Source organism: Homo sapiens, chromosome 18 (assembly GCF_000001405.40).
Source record: "Homo sapiens chromosome 18, GRCh38.p14 Primary Assembly".
In the NCBI taxonomy this organism is placed as follows: Eukaryota; Metazoa; Chordata; class Mammalia; order Primates; family Hominidae; genus Homo; species Homo sapiens.
The window spans coordinates 44,815,850-44,836,772 of NC_000018.10; the positions used below are offsets into that span (position 1 = coordinate 44,815,850).

A 20,923-nucleotide genomic window follows, 5' to 3' on the forward strand; every position below is an offset into this window, starting at 1 on the left:
TCTCTTGGCCTCTGTTTCATCTTTGAAGTCACAAGCTTGAAAGAGATGATCTTGGAGGACCCTCCCAGCTTCAATGTCCAGAGTCTATAATATAGCTTTTCTGAGGCCACATGAATGAGTCCTCTGTGACACCACACTGTTTCTTTTGCTGAACAATAGTGATTTGATTCCCCAAATCAATAAACAAATTAGAGAAACAGTCGAGAGACCCTGGGAACCAGGGACAATAGATGAAAGAAGGAGGCCTGGGAGACAGAGGGGGAGGTGAGGGAGGGGCTCCAAGGGATCGTCCCATAAAAGCCAATGCAAGGCAGGTGGGGAAGGGAACAGCAGCTTCCACAAGCCTTTTTCATTCTGTGCTGCAGTCATCTGCCTGGGAATCTACTCATGGGTGGGAGGAGGTTTAGGGCAGACCCCTGAGAGGAGAGCGAAGGGGAGGGGCTGTGTAGCAGGTGCAAGCAAAGGCTACAATGCAAATTCTCAGGAAAGCCTGAGGGGCCAGGCTAGAGGGGCAGTTGTGCAGCATATACTGGGAAGACAGAGAGGGGTCAGCAGCTGGCTGAGGGGAAGGGGTGCAGGAGGAGAAGGGAGGGAGCCCTTTGGGGCGGGGTTGGCCAGACTATGGGAAAGGCAAGTGGTAAGTTTTGTACCTCTGTGATTCCCCTACCTCTGCCTTTACTAGAAGGAAAATTTCCCATCAAAATCCAGTTATCAAGCCAGGACGGGAGTCCTTTCTGTGCACACCAGAGCATCAGCAAAAGAAGGGGCGTAGCCTTTCCGTGAATGAGTCCTCAGCTGCCTGCTGAAATAAATGCTGCTTTTACAACCTGTCAGAGGCCTGTGTTCAACGAAATAGAACACCGCAGTTCAACACCCCCACATCATACCCTCCCCTAAATTTTTATTCTTCTGGATCCAGTTCTAACAAAGAAGCAGTTAGGATTTTTAAAAAAACACCTTTCAAATTTGTCACTTTCTGCACCTCCCTTCCTTCCCCGTGGGTCCTCTTGCCTTTTCCTGACCCAGGATACTGTGTGTCTTACTCTGAGTTGACAAGAATGCATTAAACATGTATCCAGCCAGCGATTTAGGGAAATTGACGATCTTCTGGGGCTTGTTGTGTTTGGGGTCAGATGATAATATTGCCCCTTAGGTTAAATCCAGACAGCACTGAGGGATCTCCAAGCTGGTACGGTGCATACCCTCAATCGACAGGAGGCGGATCTGCACAGTGGCACAGCCCTGCTGCTCCTAAACCTAGAAGGCTTGGATCCAAATGACTTTATGTAGTGATTAGGGTAGAACGAAGAGCATTTAATAAGAGACTTTACAAAAAGTGCAGGTAGCTAACAGAAGAGCGTTACTTTTGAAAGCTGCAGGCTTCATTACATTCCAAACCAGCCAGCTCACCAGGCAACCACAGCCCAAACTGGGCGAGTGACTTTCCTAGGGTCACGCAGTTAAATATTGAGGCCTCAGAAATAGAACACCCAGTCTCTGTCGTTGTCAGACCACCTCCACGCAGAACACAGGCAAGAATCTAGCCCAGTAAAGAGCTTCAAGAGGTGGCTCACCCCTGTAATCCCAGCACTTTGGGAGGCCGAGGCAGGCAAATCACCAGGTCAGGAGTTTGAGACCAGCCTGGCCAACACAGTGAAACCCCATCTCTACTAAAAATACAAAGAATTAGCTGGGCGTGGTGGCAGGCACCTGTAATCCCAGCTAATCGGGAGACTGAGACAGGAGAATCTCTTGAACCCGGGAGGCAGAGCTTGCAGTGAGCTGAGATCCTGCCATTGCACTCCAACCCAGGTGACAGTGCGAGACTCCATCTCAAAAAAAAAAAAAGAAAAAAAAAAAGGCTTCACACATGAGTGTTGTCTTGTGGAGGGAAAATGCGGGGACTACGAACATTCTTCAAAATCAGAAAGTCTTCTTGGTTGAGGAGGAACGTGGGTCTCTGTTGAACGATGAGGTGCACCATGACTGCACTTTCCAAACTGAAATCAAAACATGTGTGTCCTTATGGGAACAATGGGCAACCAGAGTATGGGAAATTAGAGCTGTCTCAAAAAGTCTGGCACTTACTGTCTTTGGACATATATAAGCTTCCAGACTTACGTGTTTTGCTATATAATTGACTTACGGCTTGAACATTGTTTTAACCAGGTGTCTTTACTCACTCAGCACCACTCTTGAGTTTCATAAATCACCACATTTAATCTTCTATTACAGCGAGATTAAATAATTTTCTGAAAGAGTAAACATCCAGGAAGCTGCAAGTCAGGATTCGAAACTTCGTCTGCCTAACCCCACATTCTGCACTCTCTGTTAGTCTGTGCTGCCTTTTGAGAAGCATTTTTTTTAATTGGAGAGATGTTTCATTGCATGTTTTTTCACATGCAGAAAGGAATTTATTCATGTCGAGATTTAGAGGATCATAAAATCACCGAACCTTAAAGAAAGAAGGACTTCAGAGTTCGTTGATCTCAACCAACTTGTTTTGCAGATGAGGAAGTGAGGCCCAGCCGGGCAGTGACATTGGCCAAGGTCAGGCTGCATTGAACCCAAGACTCCCAGCGGAGTGTGCCTTCCACTCTGACATGGGAACTCCTTGGGTTTAAAACCAGTGACCATGGTCAGTGGGATAGTGGCCAAAGGCTGCCAAGGTCACCAGAGTCTTCTGTGGGCTTTGTTTAATGTCTTAACTCCCACTCCCATCCCCCATCCATATTAACTACCTTTTAAAAAGATTGAAATCATGCCTGCCTACCTCATGCAAAGTTAAAGGTCTACAGAGATCTAAAAGGCATGAACTACTATTTGTGATACTTATCTTCACAAAAGAGTTTATAAAAACAATTTGAGATTTCTTTTTATGAAAAGAAAAGACACGCACACACTCACACACACACACACACACACACACACTCCTCACCATCATAACACGATTATATTTAGCGGTTAACCAGTGCCCTTCCACCATCTCCCTCTGTGAAAACATGCTACCATACACTCATCATCTTACATATCCTTTTGAGTTTGCTTTCGCTTACCATGGTTACAAATATTTCCCCATGTTTTCTTGGTGATTCTAATTACCGGACAATATTTCACTGAATGTGTGTGTGTGTGTGTGTGTGTCTGTGTGTGTGTGTGTATACACACACATTTACTTTAATGGTTTACTATTATTGGACTACTTTTGGAAGTAGTTGCACAGCTTTTTATGTAGCTTTTTATTCTCTGAGATTGTTTCATTCAGACAGATACTTGAGAGTGGGAGTAGACTTCCCTTTTTCCTCTTGATACATGTGTCACGCTGTTTTTCAAAAGATATATAAGAATCAAAATGCTACCTTTGGTTGGAGATGGGCAATCCATCACCTGGTTTCCTTTTGAGCAGTAGTACCAGACACCAGATACACGCAAAATTCATTTTCTCTCTCATCAGAACTTCTGAATGTTTATCTGTCACTCTGTCAGCTGAGAGAGTGTGGGTATAATTCTATCCTTTTCATCCTCCCTCTGTATATCACTGGATGTTTTCTTTCTCTGGTAAGGCTTACTGTGTATGTTTCCTTCATTTGCAGACTGTCACAAAAACATTTTTGAAAGTAGGTGGAGGTGCACATGGAAATGGAAGCTTTTTCTCTCACTTAATCTTCGTAAGATCCGAAGTGGTGGCAGAGGGTACCCCTGTATTACAGCAGAGGACACTAGATCCTCAGAGGTCAGCAGCCTGCTCATGGTCCCATGCAGGGCAGAGGAAGGAAACTCCCATCCAGGCCCTGTGACTGCATATTTAGCATCTTTTCACAGCCCCACAAGGAAGTGTAATTGTGTGCCCCCACTGAGATCACACATGGCTTGACTATCTTGGTCTGCTTTGGCTTACATGATAATCCTGTCCTCAGGTTAAAATCAGGCAACAATTGGACCCTAACAATTTCCATTGAGAATGATTGTTTCAATATGAACTGGGACTGCGTGTAACCTACATGGACACCTCTTGAAGACAAGGCAAATTGTAATGATCTCCAAACCAGCAGCAAAAAGTAAGGACTCAACAACCAGGTTAGGGCGAAGAAGGATCATTCTTTACAAAAAAAAAAGTTGCCTTGCTGTACACGTCATCATTGCTGATGGTGGAAGGAACAGACAACTGGAAGTTGTACTAGGCTTGCCTGTCCTGGCAGCTTTGGGAGACTGGCTGGTTATGAGGAGTGGCAGCGCTTGCTGGCAGCCCTTTCTGGCCAGCTCAGTAGGGGGACATTCCTCACCAGGGCAGCCCAGGCTGGGCTTGGAGCCACCCAGCTGAGCGCCACGTGGCGGGCAGGCAGTCACATGGCTGGGATTTGGGTTTGGAATCACAGTGCTGAACCTACAGCCTAGTCAACTCCCTGTTTTAGGGCATTCATTTTTTCAATCACACCAGTTGGTTGGCAGGTGTAAATGTTCTGGGGGAGGACACCAGAATGGAGTGAAGACATCATCTGTTTCCTAACTCTTGTAGCTTTTGACTGGGTACTTTCCTGGCCATCAAATGCTGAGAGATCTAGCACCTGCTGGTCCTCTATGTGGGCGGGAACTGTGAGGTCCAGCCTGGTGTATGTCTCTGTCCTAAGCCTTATATTTCTGAATGGTGGTGGGTGGGGGATGGGGACCAAGATTGAGACCTGGGGTTCTTTTCTCCTTTACAAACTGTGCAGGCACAGGGCACAGCTTCAGAGACCCTCCATACTGGAGGAAAATAGTGCAACTCTACTAGCTCCCTCACTTCGTCATCCACACAATTTTCTGAAATGTCAATCCTGTGCTCACTTCCTGGGAATGCAGGGTTGGAATGATTCCAGTTCCACAATGGGCAGAGATCATGTCTTGATCACTTACGGTGGAAATATTCCATGTCTAGCACAGTGCCTGGCACATGGAAATTGCTCAGTTAACACTTGTCTTATGGACTGATTGAAGATGTAGTCTCTGAGTTCAAGGAGCTCACAATTTAGTGGGAAAAGGAAGATGGATAAAGAGTCACAATGACATTGTGGTAAGTGACTTGATAGAAATGTATACTTGGTAGCTTGGGAGCCATCAAAGTAACATTTCCTTTCATTGAAGTAAGAGGATTACAGTTCCTTATTGGCAGGTAAGGATCTTGCTCCCCACAGGATATCCAAAGAAATATATTGCTTCCCACAAAGATGTATTGACTCTGGAAACAGCATGGGTTAGTGGAAAGCAGTCTAGGTTGGGGGTAGGAAGACCTGTGTTCCAGACCTCTCTTGCTGAGTGGCCTCAGGCATAATCTCTTTGTGCCACTGTTGTTTTCATACGTGAAATCAGGACGTTAACTCCTTCTCTGCCCACCTTCCAGCAAAGGCATTGCTTAACAGGCCCTACTGGCTCCCTGTCCTCTACAGAATTAAATCCAAACTCTGGAAGGTGGAATTGAGGCTCTTGCTGGTGCGTCTCTTTCCTTTTGCATCTGTCATTATGGTCACATCAGTCTCCTGGATTTCCTCAGACATTCTTTGTCTTTCTGTGTCCCTATACATCCTTGCGGGGCCCTACCTCTGCCTCAAATGCTCTTTCAGAATTGGCTTGTCCAGAGACTTTCTAAACTTAAATGGCACTTTCTCCCCTGTGCAGAATGGTCACTACCTCACCCATGGCTGGACCCATGCCTCTTTAGGCATCCTTCTAACAGAGTATTAATTCCATTTTATTGTCTTGTTTATGTACCTTTCTTCTCCCCCTGGTTTCTCAAAGACTTTATATACCCCTGCCTATCCCCTGTTCCTGACACACAGCTGAGTGTTAAATAAGTGCTTGTATTGTAGTTGAATGTATCAACATAGACTGATTCCTTAATATCTGTTATTGCAGCGGGAAAGAAAGACTCATGGGTGGAAGCTACAAAGAAGCAGGTTTCAGTTGAGTATTCAAAAGAATTTCCTCAGAATCAGAGCTGTTTAGCAAGGACCTGGGTCTCCTTGGTGTACCTGGGGACTTGTGTGCTGTCCGTAGCTAGGAACGCCTGCTGTCAAGAGCTGTACCCCACATCTGTGACAGCACAGCCCCTCTTGTGTGGTGCTGCTGGAGCAGGAAGGCAGAAGGGGCTGGGGTTCTCTGAAGCCATTATTTAAAGGATATTCCTCTCTACTGATTAAATTCTCACTTGTCTCTCCCTTTATTTCTTTGATTTCCTGCTAGTGTTCAATCAGCATTTGTTGACTGAGTGACTCTGTTTATTTGTACAACAGTGACTTTTGTTCTGCAGAATGGAATAATCCAGTCTGGAACACGAATTCCATGTCTGATTTAGGGAGAATGTTTGCTGTCTTCATTTGTAGCTCTTTAGTTTGACCAAGCACTCCCATTTTGAGAAGAAAGTTATTGAAGGTCAGTGTGGTCTATCCCTAAGTCCTTCATCATCAGCAGTCCAGGCAGTATTTGGGAAGTTAGAAGTTTCTGAGAGTGACCATGTCTTATCCCCTTCTTTATTTTTCATACCATCTAGTGGTGTCTTGCACATAAATATTCATCAGTTTAAATTTGCCTTCTAAAATTATTGATAGTTGACATTTAACCACTGACTGGCAAATAAGATCCAATCAAAATGTCATGGAGTAAAGGGTGTTTAAATTCTTTAGCTGTTCATCCCAAAATTTCCTTTAGAAATTAACCACCTGCCATAGGGAAGATGCGTAGATGATTAGGTTAGAAGTTAGATTGCAACTCTTTGCAGCTCGTTCTGCTAACCCTATTCACCAATTAGCCTCACTCTTCAACTGCCTCCGCTAAAGATACTGAACTGAAACTTGCTCCCTATGGCAGCTACATGGAGAAGCTATGGTTTTGACAGGTAGCATATGACAATGGCTATTCCACTATTGAAAACCTGGGCCTCTGACTTAGGTGCCCCCAATCTCACCTCCCCACTAGTACACATATACATGTAGTTGAAAGTCAACAATTACAGTTGTTTTCAATGGAGTATAGAAATAAGAGAGAATTGGCTGGGCACGGTGGCTCACACCTGTACTTTGGGAGGCCGAGGTGGGCGGATCACCAGAGGGTCAGGAGTTTGAGACCAGCCTGGCCAACATGGGGAAACCCCATCTCTACAAAAAATACATGTGGTGGTGTTAGCCTGTAATCCCAGCTACTCAGGAGGCTGAGGCAGGAGAATCACTTGAACTCAGGTGGTGGAGGTTGCAGTGAACCTAGATCATGCTGCTGCACTCCAGGCTAGGCGATAGAGTGAGACTTCTCCAAAAAAAAGGAATAAGAGAGAATTTATCTTTGCCTAGCTCTTCATGTCTTATTAATTAAAATAGACTACTGCTTACACAAAATATCCAGCAGAGTCAAAATCTTAGAGTGGATACTGGTTACTTGCAAGCTTTTAGCATTTAACAGAATAAAAAGAAATAGATATCCCTGGATTTGTTTTCTTACAGGTGATACTAGTGAAAAAGATCCATGCTTTCATCCATCTGAAGGAAAATACCAAATGAAACAAAAACCAATGATAGCTTCTCCCTCTCTGCTCTAACAATAAGCAGTTATATTTTCAGAAAGCAAATAAATGATTCAGCAGGAAATAGGTGGCATTTATTTCTTATGCCTAGCTCTATCATTTGGTGCTGAAAACACTTGCTCTGTGATGAGGACTCACTTCTATTCAGGCTTACGAGCTGCTGACTTAGGGACTCCCACATACCGGGAGAAAAATATTCTAGAACAGGACTTATGCTCAGGTCAAGGAAGTTCAAACCTCGATGCAGAGCAGACCCCTTGTTTATGAGACCTGGGGCTTTTGTGCAATAAAGAAATAGAAATAATCTTTATTAGCTAAAGTGGCAAAGCAGTAGAAAGGGGGATGATATATATAGGAGAGCCAAAGATCTGTGAGATCAGTCCCCTTGATTCACAAATAAGAAATGATTTTACTCCTTTCATTCCCACCCTCATTGTTCTGCTTAGTTGTGGTAAGTTCTTGAGGTGAGCAGTGAGGTTAAAACCATTTGGTTATGGGATTAGTTGAATTTAAGAGAAAACAATAGTTGGTGAATCCTTCATGTATGAGCACTTTGGCTTCATACCAACCATGGCAGTAATCCCAGGTGGCTGTGAGGATGACTGTTCAGTGTCTTGACAGGAGACATTACTCATTCTCACCCTAACCTCCATTCAAACTTCTTTTCACTCCTGCCCAAATCTTAAGACCAGTTACCTTGACTTGAGAAGTGGCTGCCTGTGTGTGTGTGCATGCATATGCATCTGTGTTATGTGTCTGTGTTTGGTGGGGGTAGGGCAGGGGCATAAATCTTAAGGCTGCAGCTCTCTTCTGCTGCTTCTCTGCAAAGTTCAACCATCCTTCAGAGCTCATCTCAAGCTACCCTTCCTTGAGCCCACCCAACAGTGCACCCTGCCTCTGAGAGTTCGGTGGTGCCCATCTAGTCTCTAGCACTCTACCCTGATACCTGCTTATTTACTGCACATAACATGGGATCTATATAGGGTTTTGTATGATTCACTTGGGTTATTGAATGTGGCATATGTGTATATCTCACTCGATTCTATTCTCTCTGTGGTAAGGGTCCACATTAAAATTTATTCATAATTTTAACAATATCACCTCACTAACCCAGTTCTTGCATAAAGTAAATGCTCCAAAGGTATTTGCTGATGGATTTCCTGATTGCGCCTCTATATTTCTGACGGTGTAACATAACACTGCCAGAGGTGTGTATCTTTCATTTTAAAAGACCCATTAATATTCAACATTAGCAGAATAATTTTCTAAATGACAAGTTACAACCTTTTGGCTGTCTCCTCTTTTTCTTTTCCCCAGGGAATTGCCCTTTTAATGCAATTGAAAAAAAGAAGGGGATGGGAAGAGAAGGAAAATGGAGGGCAGAAGAAAGAGAGCAATAGGAAGGGAAGGAAGTGGTGATTGCCTAGGGAAGCAGATGAAGAAAGGGAGTGGGTCATCGTAGCAAGTAGGTAAGGGAGGGAAATCCTGAAGCAGGAAGATAAAGGAGCAAAGTCTTGGTCTTGCTGCAGCCATGGCGACTGCTCCTCTCCTGCTCTTACTTGGAGTAGCTGCTTCCCACCTCTGCTCCCGGTAGAGTGGAGTGCAGATTCTCCTGCACATTATTCACCTAAACATATAGAGTTACTTTTTTCACTTCTGCTTAGGAACTTGCTGTATCTTATTCTGCTCTATCCCCACCTGGGGGCATTAAGGTTAATGTTTCAAGTTATGGTGCTAGACTTGGAGTTAGACTGGGATAGATCTTAGAGTTATGTCTTGCCTGTTTCCAAGGGAATTTCAGAGGTTTACAAGTGTAATAAAAATTCAGCAATTAGGGGGAAAGCAAAGCAGAGATTATCTAAAAGGACTGGGAGCTACCTGGCTCCTTCAAGGCTCTGATCTTTTACATGGAGGACTGATGTGGGCTGTGTTTGCTGGAAGCCAGAAAGAGAAGGGATCCATCTTATATGACAGTTTTTGTTTAACCGAGAGCACAGGTTTATCTATCAGAATATTTTTTCATCCAGTGAAAAAGGCACACAATTTTTCTAAAAGTATCTTTAAAAAAGAATTGTCTCTTATATAGTAGATAATATTTTTTAAGAGCAGTTTTAAAAAAGACAAAGGCTTTCAAACTGCCCCTCTTGAAATGTAAAGGATATAATGTTAAATTGGATATCCAAGAAAACATTTATAAAGTAAAATTAGATAATGTGGTTTATCAACATTGGGACAATCTTCACCTGACCTTTGTATTCCAAGATAGTTTTGATGAGAAAGGAGAAAAGTAGTTTTATGGATGATGCAGATTTCTTGATGCAGAATTAATGGATAGTACAAATAAAAATACTAGAATAATAATAATGTCCTTGTCTTTGCCGGGAGCTCTTCATTCAGTCTTTCTTTTATTTCTCAAAGTTTACTGTAGCAGCAGAGTAGTGCGGAATAAGTATGGTCCTTGGTATTACAAGACCTGAGTTCAGTTCCCAACACTGTCACCTACTAACTGTGTGATACAGGATAAGGGAACTAATCTCTCTACACCTCGATTTTCTCATCTGCTAATAAAGAGTGACTAGTACCTTGATGTTTCAAGAGTTAAATGCATAAGCAAACGACTTGCATAATACCTGGAATTTAGTAGGTTCTCAATAAATATTAGATGAATCTTTTTGTAACTAAATGTGATTGAAAATGTCATGTCGTCTCTCAAGGAAGGTCAACAGAGGCCAATAGAGTTCAAAGGAAAGTTCTAGTGTAATGATTTTCATTGGTTCAAAATATACTTGGTCCTTTGGAGGTTCACTGTGGTTGCCTTTCTCATTCATTGGGGCAAAGAAATGGGTGGCAAAGAGGTATGGAAAGACCCTCTTGCCCTTTCACCCCTTTTTCGCCTCTCCTGCCTCTCTCCACCTCCGTCAGTCCCTGGCCCTCGCACAAAAGCTCATTGCATTCAGCTCTTTGGTGGCTTTGTACCTGTTGGGTCTGCCCCCATCTAGGGCCCCTTTTTGGCCTTTCTTTTTTTCTCTCTCAAAAGACCCCAAGGGGGTTCCAGGGCCCAGTGGCTGGGCTCCCAGGTTGCCTCACAGAGAAGGTGTTGTTCAGCAGAAAGGCATGTGGAGTCCCAGGGTGAGAGAGTTGGGGGCATTATCAATCATGAGCTGCTAAAAGCCAGGAGAGAGACGGGAGAGCTAGCAAGAGCAGGGAGGACTGAATTGAAGTGGAGGATTTTTTTTTTCCTGTTCCTGTTGTTGTCGTTGTTGAAGGGAGCGTTCTTGGACATCTGCCCAGACACATGCTGAGTTAAAGAAGCAGCAGGATAAATTCTTAAAGAATGAATTGGGAGAGGGGAAGGAGCTGCGGGTGGGGAGGAGTAGTGAAAAGGAACCAAGGAATGATTCCAACCCCCAAACAAAGGAGGCCCCTGCAGACCAGACCAGCCTCAGCCTGGCCCTTCTGTGGTTCAAACATTGGTTTGTTTAGCACATAATCCAGGAACACCAAGGATCCTTAATAGCTGCTTTGGGCCCACAAAAGGGCCACAGAGGGAAACTACAGTTTCTTGAGCTTTCTTCTTTATATCCAATGCAGGCTAAGAATGCCATGGGAGAGCTTCTCTCCCTCACTTGATTGGCCCCAGAAATGCTTACTGAAGTACCTCAGTTCATGATGCAATCAGTGTGGTAGCATAAGCATAGGGCTCACTAGTGGTGATGACATGTTCTATTTGATGACAAATGTCTTTTTCTTTTTAAAGAAAAGAAACTTGTAAAAAAATGCTCTCCTAGATTCTATGGTAGGAAATCAGGGAGCTTCTAATTAAGGAACTTCCCAATATAGTTTCCGAAAGAAAAATAAGCAAAACAAAAACAAAAGCTTGTGACGATGGTGGGACAGTTGGATTCTAACTGCATCCCCTTCCTCACTAGACTAGAATTGCCCATAGACGTGTCATTAGAGACACGCTTGTGTTATTCAGTTCATTCTCTTTGCTCTAAATTTCTTAATAGAAATTATATTGATTGTTGTTCTTAGACTTTGGAATAGGTCGGTTCTGAATATTGAGCTGACATGTCAGACAGCCCCCATGATAGCTCATTCACTCATTTCTTCATTGCAACATATACATCTTCACTATCAAATGTATATCATTGACGGTCTTTTGTGGTTTGCCCCTATGCTAGGGTTTGGGAAGATGCAGGTATATTGGGCCTTAGCCTTATCAATCAAACCATGGAGGACTGGCATTTTCAGCTAGAGTTAACAAACCTTATTCTTCTTGGGTGAGGAAGTTCATACCAAAAGAGAAACTGCATACTTTATAGAAACATTAGGCGATCAAAGCATTATAGTCAAAATATAGTCTCTGAAAATGGCACAGGTTTAGTATTGTACACTCTGCACGTGCCACATTTGTTGACCCTGTTAAGCCTTCAACCAGCTCTGCCATGGGTACCCACACTTTCCCTGTAGTTCCCTAGGTGGGAAATGAAGAAAAGTAAGAAAAGCAAAATATGGCCAACCAGTGCCTATTCAAGCCTAGTCATGCTCAGAACCTTTTATTGATGATCTGAAATTAAGAAAGGTGGTAACACTGCTGTCCAAAGCAAGAGAGATTAAGAGACTAGCTTTTCAAAACACAAACTTGACTTTATTATACATTCACATAAATGTATTCACTTCTCAAAGTGTTCTTCTCGTGACACTATGCACTTAATATTGCCATTGTTCAAACTATGATTGAAATGTCCCTTTGTTGTCTTCAAGTCACTGGTTTAAAAAAAAAAGATCAGCACAGTGGTCTCTAATTTATGTAGCTGATTGTTCTTGACAGGGCCCCAGGGATCTCCAGTTAGGAAGTTCCGTTATGTTGAAATGCGGTGAAACAGGTTATCCATGGCCTTGTCACATGGCAATGAAAACAAAGGGACTCAGGATCTGTGAGCTGCCACATGTGCTGTCTTGACAGCTCTGGCAATGGTTCTTGAACCATCAGTCATTATTCAATGTAGTAGATGAAAATTCAGATACTACTGAACTTGATGTCTCTTTGAATATGGTGATTTCAGGGGCAGCTGAGGGAATGAGATATTTTTTATCTATTCCAATCTGTTTTAAATTATTTTGAAAATTATTTCTTGAACATTGACTGTTTTTCCTATCCTGTATAATATGAAGGGTCGTACAGAAAGGGGGTGGATGATGGAAGGAGAGACAAAAAGAGAAGAAGCTTCTGCTGACTTGTGCTTTGTATCTACAGGGCTGCTGTGGAGGAAATTGTGTTCCCTTCCACCCAAATGTAGACAATGAAGCCCTAACTCCCAATGTGACTGTATTCAGAGTGAAAAAGTAATTGCGGTTAAGTAAGGTTATAAGGGTGGAACCCTGAGCTGATAGGATTAGTGCATTTATTAGAAGAGACACTACAGAACTCATTTGCTTTCTCTCCACCATGTGAGGACACAGGGAGAAGGCAGCTGTCTGCAAGCTAGGAAAAGAGCTCTCAGCAGACACTACACCCTGCTATAATCTTGATCTTGGACTTTCCAGCCTTTAAAACTAGGAGAAAATAAATTTCTGTTGTTTTAGCCACCCAGTCTGTGGTATTTTGTTAAGTAGCTCATGCTAAGACAAGACATTTTTCTGGTTACATCTACCAGATAAATGGAAAAGAGTGAAAAACAGTGAAAGTTTCCTTCCCAATTCCCTAAGGTCAATCTCCATTTAATGGTGGGAGTGACTTAGAGTGAAGAGAAATGGTTCCCACTACAAGCCCTGTTTGGGTCCATGTGGGTTTTCTGAATCCGCAGATTAGACGTTAAAGTGTTATTATAAACTTGGTTGTTGGTGTACCTTCTTGTTTCTCAAGATTGCAAGCTCAGAACATCGTATACATGTTACTGATCTGCCCTATTGCATTGACGCCTGTGAATAATTTTTTTTGGTCAAGTATAATTCTATTGAAAAGACGAAATTTTGCTGATAAAGTGTATCTAAACTGAGTTTATTTAGACTTGTAAGTCAGCTGAACAACGGAAAATACTTAAATGTTTTTTGAAAAAATAAACTGCTTAAGATGAATAAAAATTAGTAAAATGAAATCCTGAGTCTAGTTATATCCTGGTTTCCATCAAGAAGAAGGCCGACCATGATCAGTTCTGTTTCGGCAACATGACATTTTTAATCTCAACTCATCATTAGGCACCTACTGTGTGTCTGCTATTTTGCTCATAAAAAATGTGGGAAAGGAACCTTATAGTAGAAATTAGTGGTCTGGTGCAAATAAGATTTCTAAAAATCAAATCAGGATGAAATTCTATAACGGAGGGGCAAAGCGGTCAGTTGATTGAGTCCTTGTCTTTAATCTCTTTGATGTGGCACAGTCCCACTTATAAAATTTGGCCATGCTCAAGGCCAGATTGTTGTCAAAGTATATTTTGCATGTCTCAGATCCTTCTACGTATCCACATTATTTACCATTGCCTAACCCTTCTTGTCAGGGGGAAAATGAGACTTGATGGGTTCTAAATAACTTAATGTGAATCAGTATAAAATAGTATTCTTGAGGTCTTTTTCTCATGAAGGAGAGAACACACTATGATATAATGTCATACTTTCCAAATGGTTTACACAGAGGCACTCATTCCTCTGCATGTTAGTAAAAATTATATTGTAAAAAATTTAAGTAGGTAAATAAGTTTGGGGAAAAAAACTAAATAATTGGGTTCTTGATGGTAGAACTTATTGGAATCTTTAATAGTGTACTAATCTTCATTGAGAATCCACAAAAGGGAGAAGAGGGGAGGTGATGTAATCCACACAGCATTTTCCAAACTAATTTGACCATGGGACGTTTATTTTGACCCAAAGTCAGAAAGGACCAGCATTTTACTGAACACAGTCTCTTTGGGAAGTGCTGCTGCAGTTTAAAAACTAAATTCTTGTGCAAAACAGTGACCTTATGTAAGGTGGTATTTTACTCAACCATACAATTTGAGGACTGGCCTAGAAGATCTCAAAGGCTCTTTCCAGAATGTAATTTTACACATCTTTTATTATAAAATCTTGGCAGCATCTCTAAAGGGAGAATTTCAGGCTAAGGGAAGATGTGTAGGGGAGATGTTTGGAAGTCCTCTAATTGCACTGAGGAGTTTCCTGTCTCTTTTTTGCCTATACGAAGGGTGTTTCTGCTTATTTGATTGTGCAGTGCAAACTTTTGGGATTTGATCAGATGGAAGCTGGGTGGGACAGCTCTCAGAGAGCAGAGTTACTAGGGATACTGTTCTGCTTCCTTGGCCAGAATACAATTTTATTCTCATCCTCTGTAAACAGTGAATACAGGAAAACCACACACAAGTTTTAAACATTCTGTTGCACGAAGACTGAAGGTTACTGTATACTATTTGGGGGAGGGGAGGGGTAGAAACCCTATACATTGAGAATTTGAATTGATTCCAAAAGTCTGGATTCACAAAACAGTACATTGTGTTTTCTCCAGTTTGAAGTGTTTCCTTGGTTTCATGACTGCCTTATAGAGGGAGTGGATCATTCCACAAAGCATTGGGAGGATGGGGAATATGTATCATTTGGAGAAACTTAAATTCAATTTTCTGCTCAGTGACTTCCCAGAGTGCTGAAGGCCTTGTATAGAGCTGTCTTTTCTTTTCTGTTTTTATTCGCAATCCTCTTTTTTAAAAAAGGACAAATAAGCACAGTTGTAAACTTTGTAAATCCAGTAGAGGCCTGTTTGTGAACATTGCCTATGATGAACCGTTCTTATGTTGGCCTCAACTGATGTGGAGTAGTGTAGCATAGACAGTGAGCTCAGTTTGACTTGTTTTCATGGATTATTTTAGACATAATACTTTCCCTAGAGATTCCCAGAGATTTTTCTACCACTATCCTGTATAAAACCAGACATGTGATTAAGGGATATCTAAGGTTAGCAAGTTTCAGAATTTCCCCTCCAAAGGTCCATCTCTTCCATGAGGTTTATTCCTAACTCTTGAAAACATTGCTGACCTTTTCTTCCTTTGGGTTAGATACCATTATGACTTTCAATGATCTTGCCAAAGTTTGACATTTAATTACATTAGACTCAGATATTCATGATTTTCAAACATAAGACTAACAATGAAAATACTATGTTCTGACTCCATCTCTTACTAGCTGTGTGAACTTGGACAAATAGTTAAGAGCCAAATGACTCAGAATCCTCATTTATAATTAAAAAATAATTGTACTTATCGCCTCAGGTTATGAAGAGGAGTGAGTAAGGTAATATAAGGTGAACACTCTTCATGTCTGGTGCCATATACATGTTCTATAAATGAAGGCTATTGTTACTATTGGTTCTGGGTAACACAAGGCATGTAGACTTCCTGAATTAAAATAAATATTATTTAGGTGATTGTGACACTGATTGTAACAGATTTTAAATCCGCCCATGACCTGCCCTCCCATTCACTTGCTGTGCATTCTGCCTTAGGGTGTCCTTGACCTTCTGTGGGACTGAGTTGTGTTTATCCTGCTGTGTTTTCACTCTTGCTGTCAAGGATCATGGCTTATAATTTTTGCATTCTCCTGATAGGCTGATAAGCACAAAATTGGTATTCAATAAAGATTTATTGATTATTAAATAGGTTGATTTTTAAAATGCTAAGAATGAGAAGCAACATGCCTCCTTTGGCTCTGGAGAACAGGTGGTCTTTGGATACAGTGGACAGGAATGAGCCCTTTTTTATGATTTTTGACTGTCAGGCCCATCAGGTGACGCTAGACATCATTTATAAATTTGAAAACAGAGTTGAAAAAGGTGTAGGCTTCCAGCACAGGTCAGATTCAAGCCACTGACCAGTTATACCCTGGTCAAACATCAGTGAACATAACCATTATTCAGGGAGATTTTGTAGCATGCAGCATCCCAGGCCAGGCCCGGGGCTACCCCTAGAGGTTCTGACTCTGAAGACCTGGCAGAGCCTGGGAATCTGCATGTTCACTATGTGCTCAGGAAATGCTGATGCCCCTGGCTCTCTGACCACTGTCTCAGAAACACATCATCAGAGAAACATGGCAGTCAGGGCGAGCCCCTCTAGCTCTTTGTTTGGTATGGCTGAATTTCCTCCAAATCCCAGGATGCAAACTAGTCATGGCAGAACTAGATATCCATAGTTATTCTTTTCACTTAGCATCAGGATATTTGCTAGGTAATGCTGACATCCCCAAACTCGGTGCCCTTTGGGTCCCCCTCCCCAGCCTTCCTCATCTCTTCCTGCCCCTCTGAGGCAGGGCTGATGGGCCCACCAGGTTCTCATTACAGGGGCCTGGCTGGGCAGCACTGTTCTTAGCTTCCCATTCCTTGGGCCCTGCTGGTCCCTGAATGAGAAACAGCTGTCTACCCACACACTACTCGATCTAGGCTAGTTACACAAAATGCATGCTGTTCTGCAAGTCGGGTCTCAGCTCTCCCAGTCTTCTGGCCCCTGAAGCATTTCATAGTTGATTTTTAATCACATTGGACAAATGTCTGCAGCAGGCCAGGGCTGCACCTTAGAGCATAGTCTCACCCTAGACCCATCACCTCTGGGTCCAAGGCCAGCCACTGTGCCACTGTGTCTTACTGGGGACAGTGGAGGTGGATGGAAAGTGTCTGCTCTGATTAGGGGCCTAAGATACTGGACGGTAAGTCTAAGAGCCCACAGGCTGGGCATGACGTAAGCCAAGTGCCTAGGCTAGCACTTATGTATCACCATCACCTTGGAGTTTTGATAGAAGTACAAAATCTCAGGCCTCACCTGGGATCTTCTGATTTATGCTGGAGGTGGGGCTCAGCCCTCCAGGTATTTCTGACACATGTTCAAGTTTACTTTTAGAATGTTGGAAGCAGCAGTTGTGTTTAAGGTGGAAAGATCTTTCTGGAGAAAGGGAGGCTTCTGAGAGCCTAGCAGAGCTTGGTTTTCCTCCAGTGTTCCGAGAAGTAGGAGTGTGATGATTTGCTGTGACCAGAGGGTTGGAAGAATGAGGAGAGTCCCTGGGAGTGGGAGGTTGTTGGAGTCTGGAAGACTGGGAAGTACAGGCATGGGTACCAAAGCCCATGTCTGTCCTTTGGCCTTCCTGCATTACATGGGCCTGGGAACTGGACCAGAAGTGGCAGACAAAATAGGGATGAGTATTAATTACGGCCCAGGAAACAATGGTCAAGACAGAGAGCAATGCCTTCGAGGAGAGAGCTAGAAGTGTGCCCAGTGGTTCCTGCCCACAAGGCAGACATGCAAAGGTGGGTCAGCTTCCTTAAATCCAGAGAATACGGTCTGCAAATGCTGCATTTCCTGGCTCAGAAATGGCCACTTTTTACTCCAAGCTCCCCTGGCTCATAGCAATTCATGCAGTAGTTATTTTAAGTGGAAAGGGGAAAAGATAAAGGATCTTTTAAATTACAAGATTTGCCTTTGATTCTGCTTCTTGGACAATGTATGTTCTTTTGTTAAACAAATACCTGGTTTTGGGTATAAAAGGTGAGGCCTGCAAGGCATGGCATGAAAGAAAATAAATTGTTCTGCATAAGAAATGATTGAAAATTTTAACGTAGGTGTGGGCAGAGTAGAAAACTGAAAAGAAGGTTTGTGGAAGGGGGAAGATCTTATTTCCATCAGAATAGAGAATCAAAAATAAGAACATAGGACTGGACTTCAGGAATTTGTAGAAACTCAGGGAAGGCATTAAACTCCTCATTTAGCATGAGATAATGGGTGTGGATCCGTTGTATATAGATCTCCAAGGATGGTTCAGCTATGCTATGGGTTACCTTCAGTTTCACCTTGCACACAGAAGCTCCCAAGAGGGCTGGGGCCTCATTTACTGGCTTCATTCCTCAGCAAGAACATGGTGCTAAGCCTTGCATAGAGAGAGTACTAATGAGATACCTCTTTATGGGAATGACAATACAGTGAATAAGTCAAGACATGGCACCTGGGAATGTATGGTTAATTGCTAAGTACGTATGAACTAGACTGACAGTATAGATTATAAAACGGTAATGGCCAATTCAGAGCTGTGAGTCGAAAGGAGGGCTTCCTGAGTGTTTGTCAAGCAGGAAGAGTATATGTGGATGGGTAGAAGGTGGCTAATCCCAGAGATGATTTGTGGCCCCCGGAAGCTATAGAAGAGGCACAGAGCAGGAGAAGAAGGGGTTAATCAATTGTTCTCCAAATGTCCTCCATCAGCAGGGACCAGTAAATGTAATGATTAATCAATCAAATAATTACTGTACACTCGTCAAATGTCAGGAGATGTGGCAAGGACTGAGATTCAGAGATGAATTAAGATAGAATTACTTGCCCTCAAGGAGTTGTGTAGAAAGTGACCAACAGGGGCAAGACAGAAACTAAAAATACAACCAGATACCTTTGTTCAACATAGGCCCACATGGACATGGTAGGGACAAGAAAGGATATGAGTTAAATCAAAAGGAGGGAGAGGGGAGCCAAGGGCAGTTCTCTGGAAAGGGTGCAGTTGTAGGTACTTGGAAACAGGAGCAGTTTTCTAAGCAGAGGAAAGAGGAAAGGGTATGGCTGGCTTATGAAGTATGAGGTGGGACAGACAGGCGACTAGGCTGGGGAGGGAGATCTTTATCAGAGCAGATGGGCCTTCTTGGAGTTTCTAGGGAGATTGGATTTTACAGAGCAGCTAGAGGGAGCCATTGAAGAGTATTAAGGATGAGGGGAGGTAACAGAAGTCCTGTTTTAGGAAGGTCCCTGGGTTGGGAGAAGCAGCACAGGGTCAGGTCACAGAGGAGTAGCCATGCAGTGCTCAGGACAGCTCTCCCTGGGGCCACTCCCCTCCAAGGGAGGGGCTCTACAGCTCTTGCATCTCGAAGAGGCCCTTGGGTGCGGTGCATTTTATCAATATCATCAAACTAAGCCAGCCTTCAAAGGTTTGTGAAGGAGGCAGCGTCGTGTTTGACAGTCTCTCTACTGTGTCCTCTTTGCTCCCTGCCCTCAGCTTTTTCCCATTCCCTGCCTGTGCTCATGCTGAAATCTCTCTCCAGATAAAAGCCCATCTGATTAAGATTTAAGCAAAAGTTTAGCAAATAAAAATACAGGACTCCAACTAATACTTTTTTTGTCCCATGAATAGTTCTAAAAAAGAATTTTTAAGTATTTTAAATTCAAATTTAACTATTGTCCTATATTTTATCTGGCAACCCTACATTTAATACGTCTAAGAATCTCATTTTAGAGTTTAGGGATCCACCTTGTCTGGCTGCTCAATGTTTCTTTCCCATAGGAAGATGCTGAGGCCCCTAAAGGTCAAGTGGTTTGTTTGTGAAGTTCACACGGCCAAGCCAGAGCAAAGCTGTGACTTCCAGACCAACTCTGTGTCCACTTGGCAACCTGTTCTCTGTACCTAGGAATGAATTAGTTAAATGTGGCAGACTTCCTAGAAGCATTTGCATTTTTAAAAGAAGGCCTGAGGGCAAAAACTCCTAGAGTAAGAATGTCTAAGAATGAAAATTCAAGTCCTATTCAAGAGGAAAGGCATTCTGTCCTGGAGCTTTCTTGGAATTAAGGCCTCTTTCTGCAGCCAGGGGAGCCTGCCTGGCCTTCTGATCCGGCAACTAATCACGTGAAGCATTTGGCCACGGACAACGATCCTGTCCATTGGAACGATACTTTGAACTTTTCAGAGTGCATTCAGAAACATCATTTCCTTACTCTCTATAAGCTTTTTTTTTTTTATTGTAAATGTTATTTACATGCTTTCCATATTTCCAATTTGGTTTCTGCCACCAAGCGAATCAGGAAAGTTTGATCCACAAACACTGAATTGTATATCAGCTTTTTATAAACACACTGCAGTCAAATTTCCATTATTTTCTTTGCTTAACCTGCTGCCTTCATTTTATTAGAGTCTCATGCCTTTTCCCTAGTTAGGTTCTGTCTAGCATACCTCTGGTTCAACGTTATTGCTGCCCAAGAAAAAATGTCAGATTGTTTAAAGCCATAGAATGGAAAAACTGGAAGTGCCCTTAGGCCCAGCCAGGCCAAGCTAGTGCTGGAGCTCAGAGCTGCAGAGTCCAGGGGCCTCTCCACTCCACTCCACTCTGCTCCACTCTACTCCACTCCACTCTTTCCTTAGGATTCTGAGTTCTGACTCTTCCCTAGTCTAGAAGAATGCTCTGAAGTTTCTGGACAACCATGGGTTGCCCACTTTTTCAAATTAATTCTTCGTCATGGTTTTTGATGCTTCTCAATACTAGTCTGGGAAATTCTAGGCTTACACAGGTATATAATTGTCTATTTGGCAGCTGAGAAAAAGGACTCCACAGTGATGAACTTACCGAGGACTGGGGCAGTATGGGACAGGTGTTTGTCCTTG

The 20,923-nt window shown here is 42.8% G+C and overlaps 1 protein-coding gene across 19 annotated transcripts in view, besides 1 other annotated feature; it reads left to right on the forward strand.

The window, feature by feature from the left end:
• The window catches only part of SETBP1 (SET binding protein 1), a 388,438-nt gene that overhangs the window by 135,777 nt on the left and 231,738 nt on the right, over positions 1-20,923 (forward strand). The gene's annotated exons all lie outside the window — the stretch shown is intronic.
• Positions 9,671-12,075: an enhancer, noted in NCBI's record as "VISTA enhancer hs2336". NCBI's record gives its function as "enhancer in: hindbrain (rhombencephalon)[4/4]" and the evidence as "EXISTENCE:transgenic organism evidence [ECO:0001131][PMID:17130149]".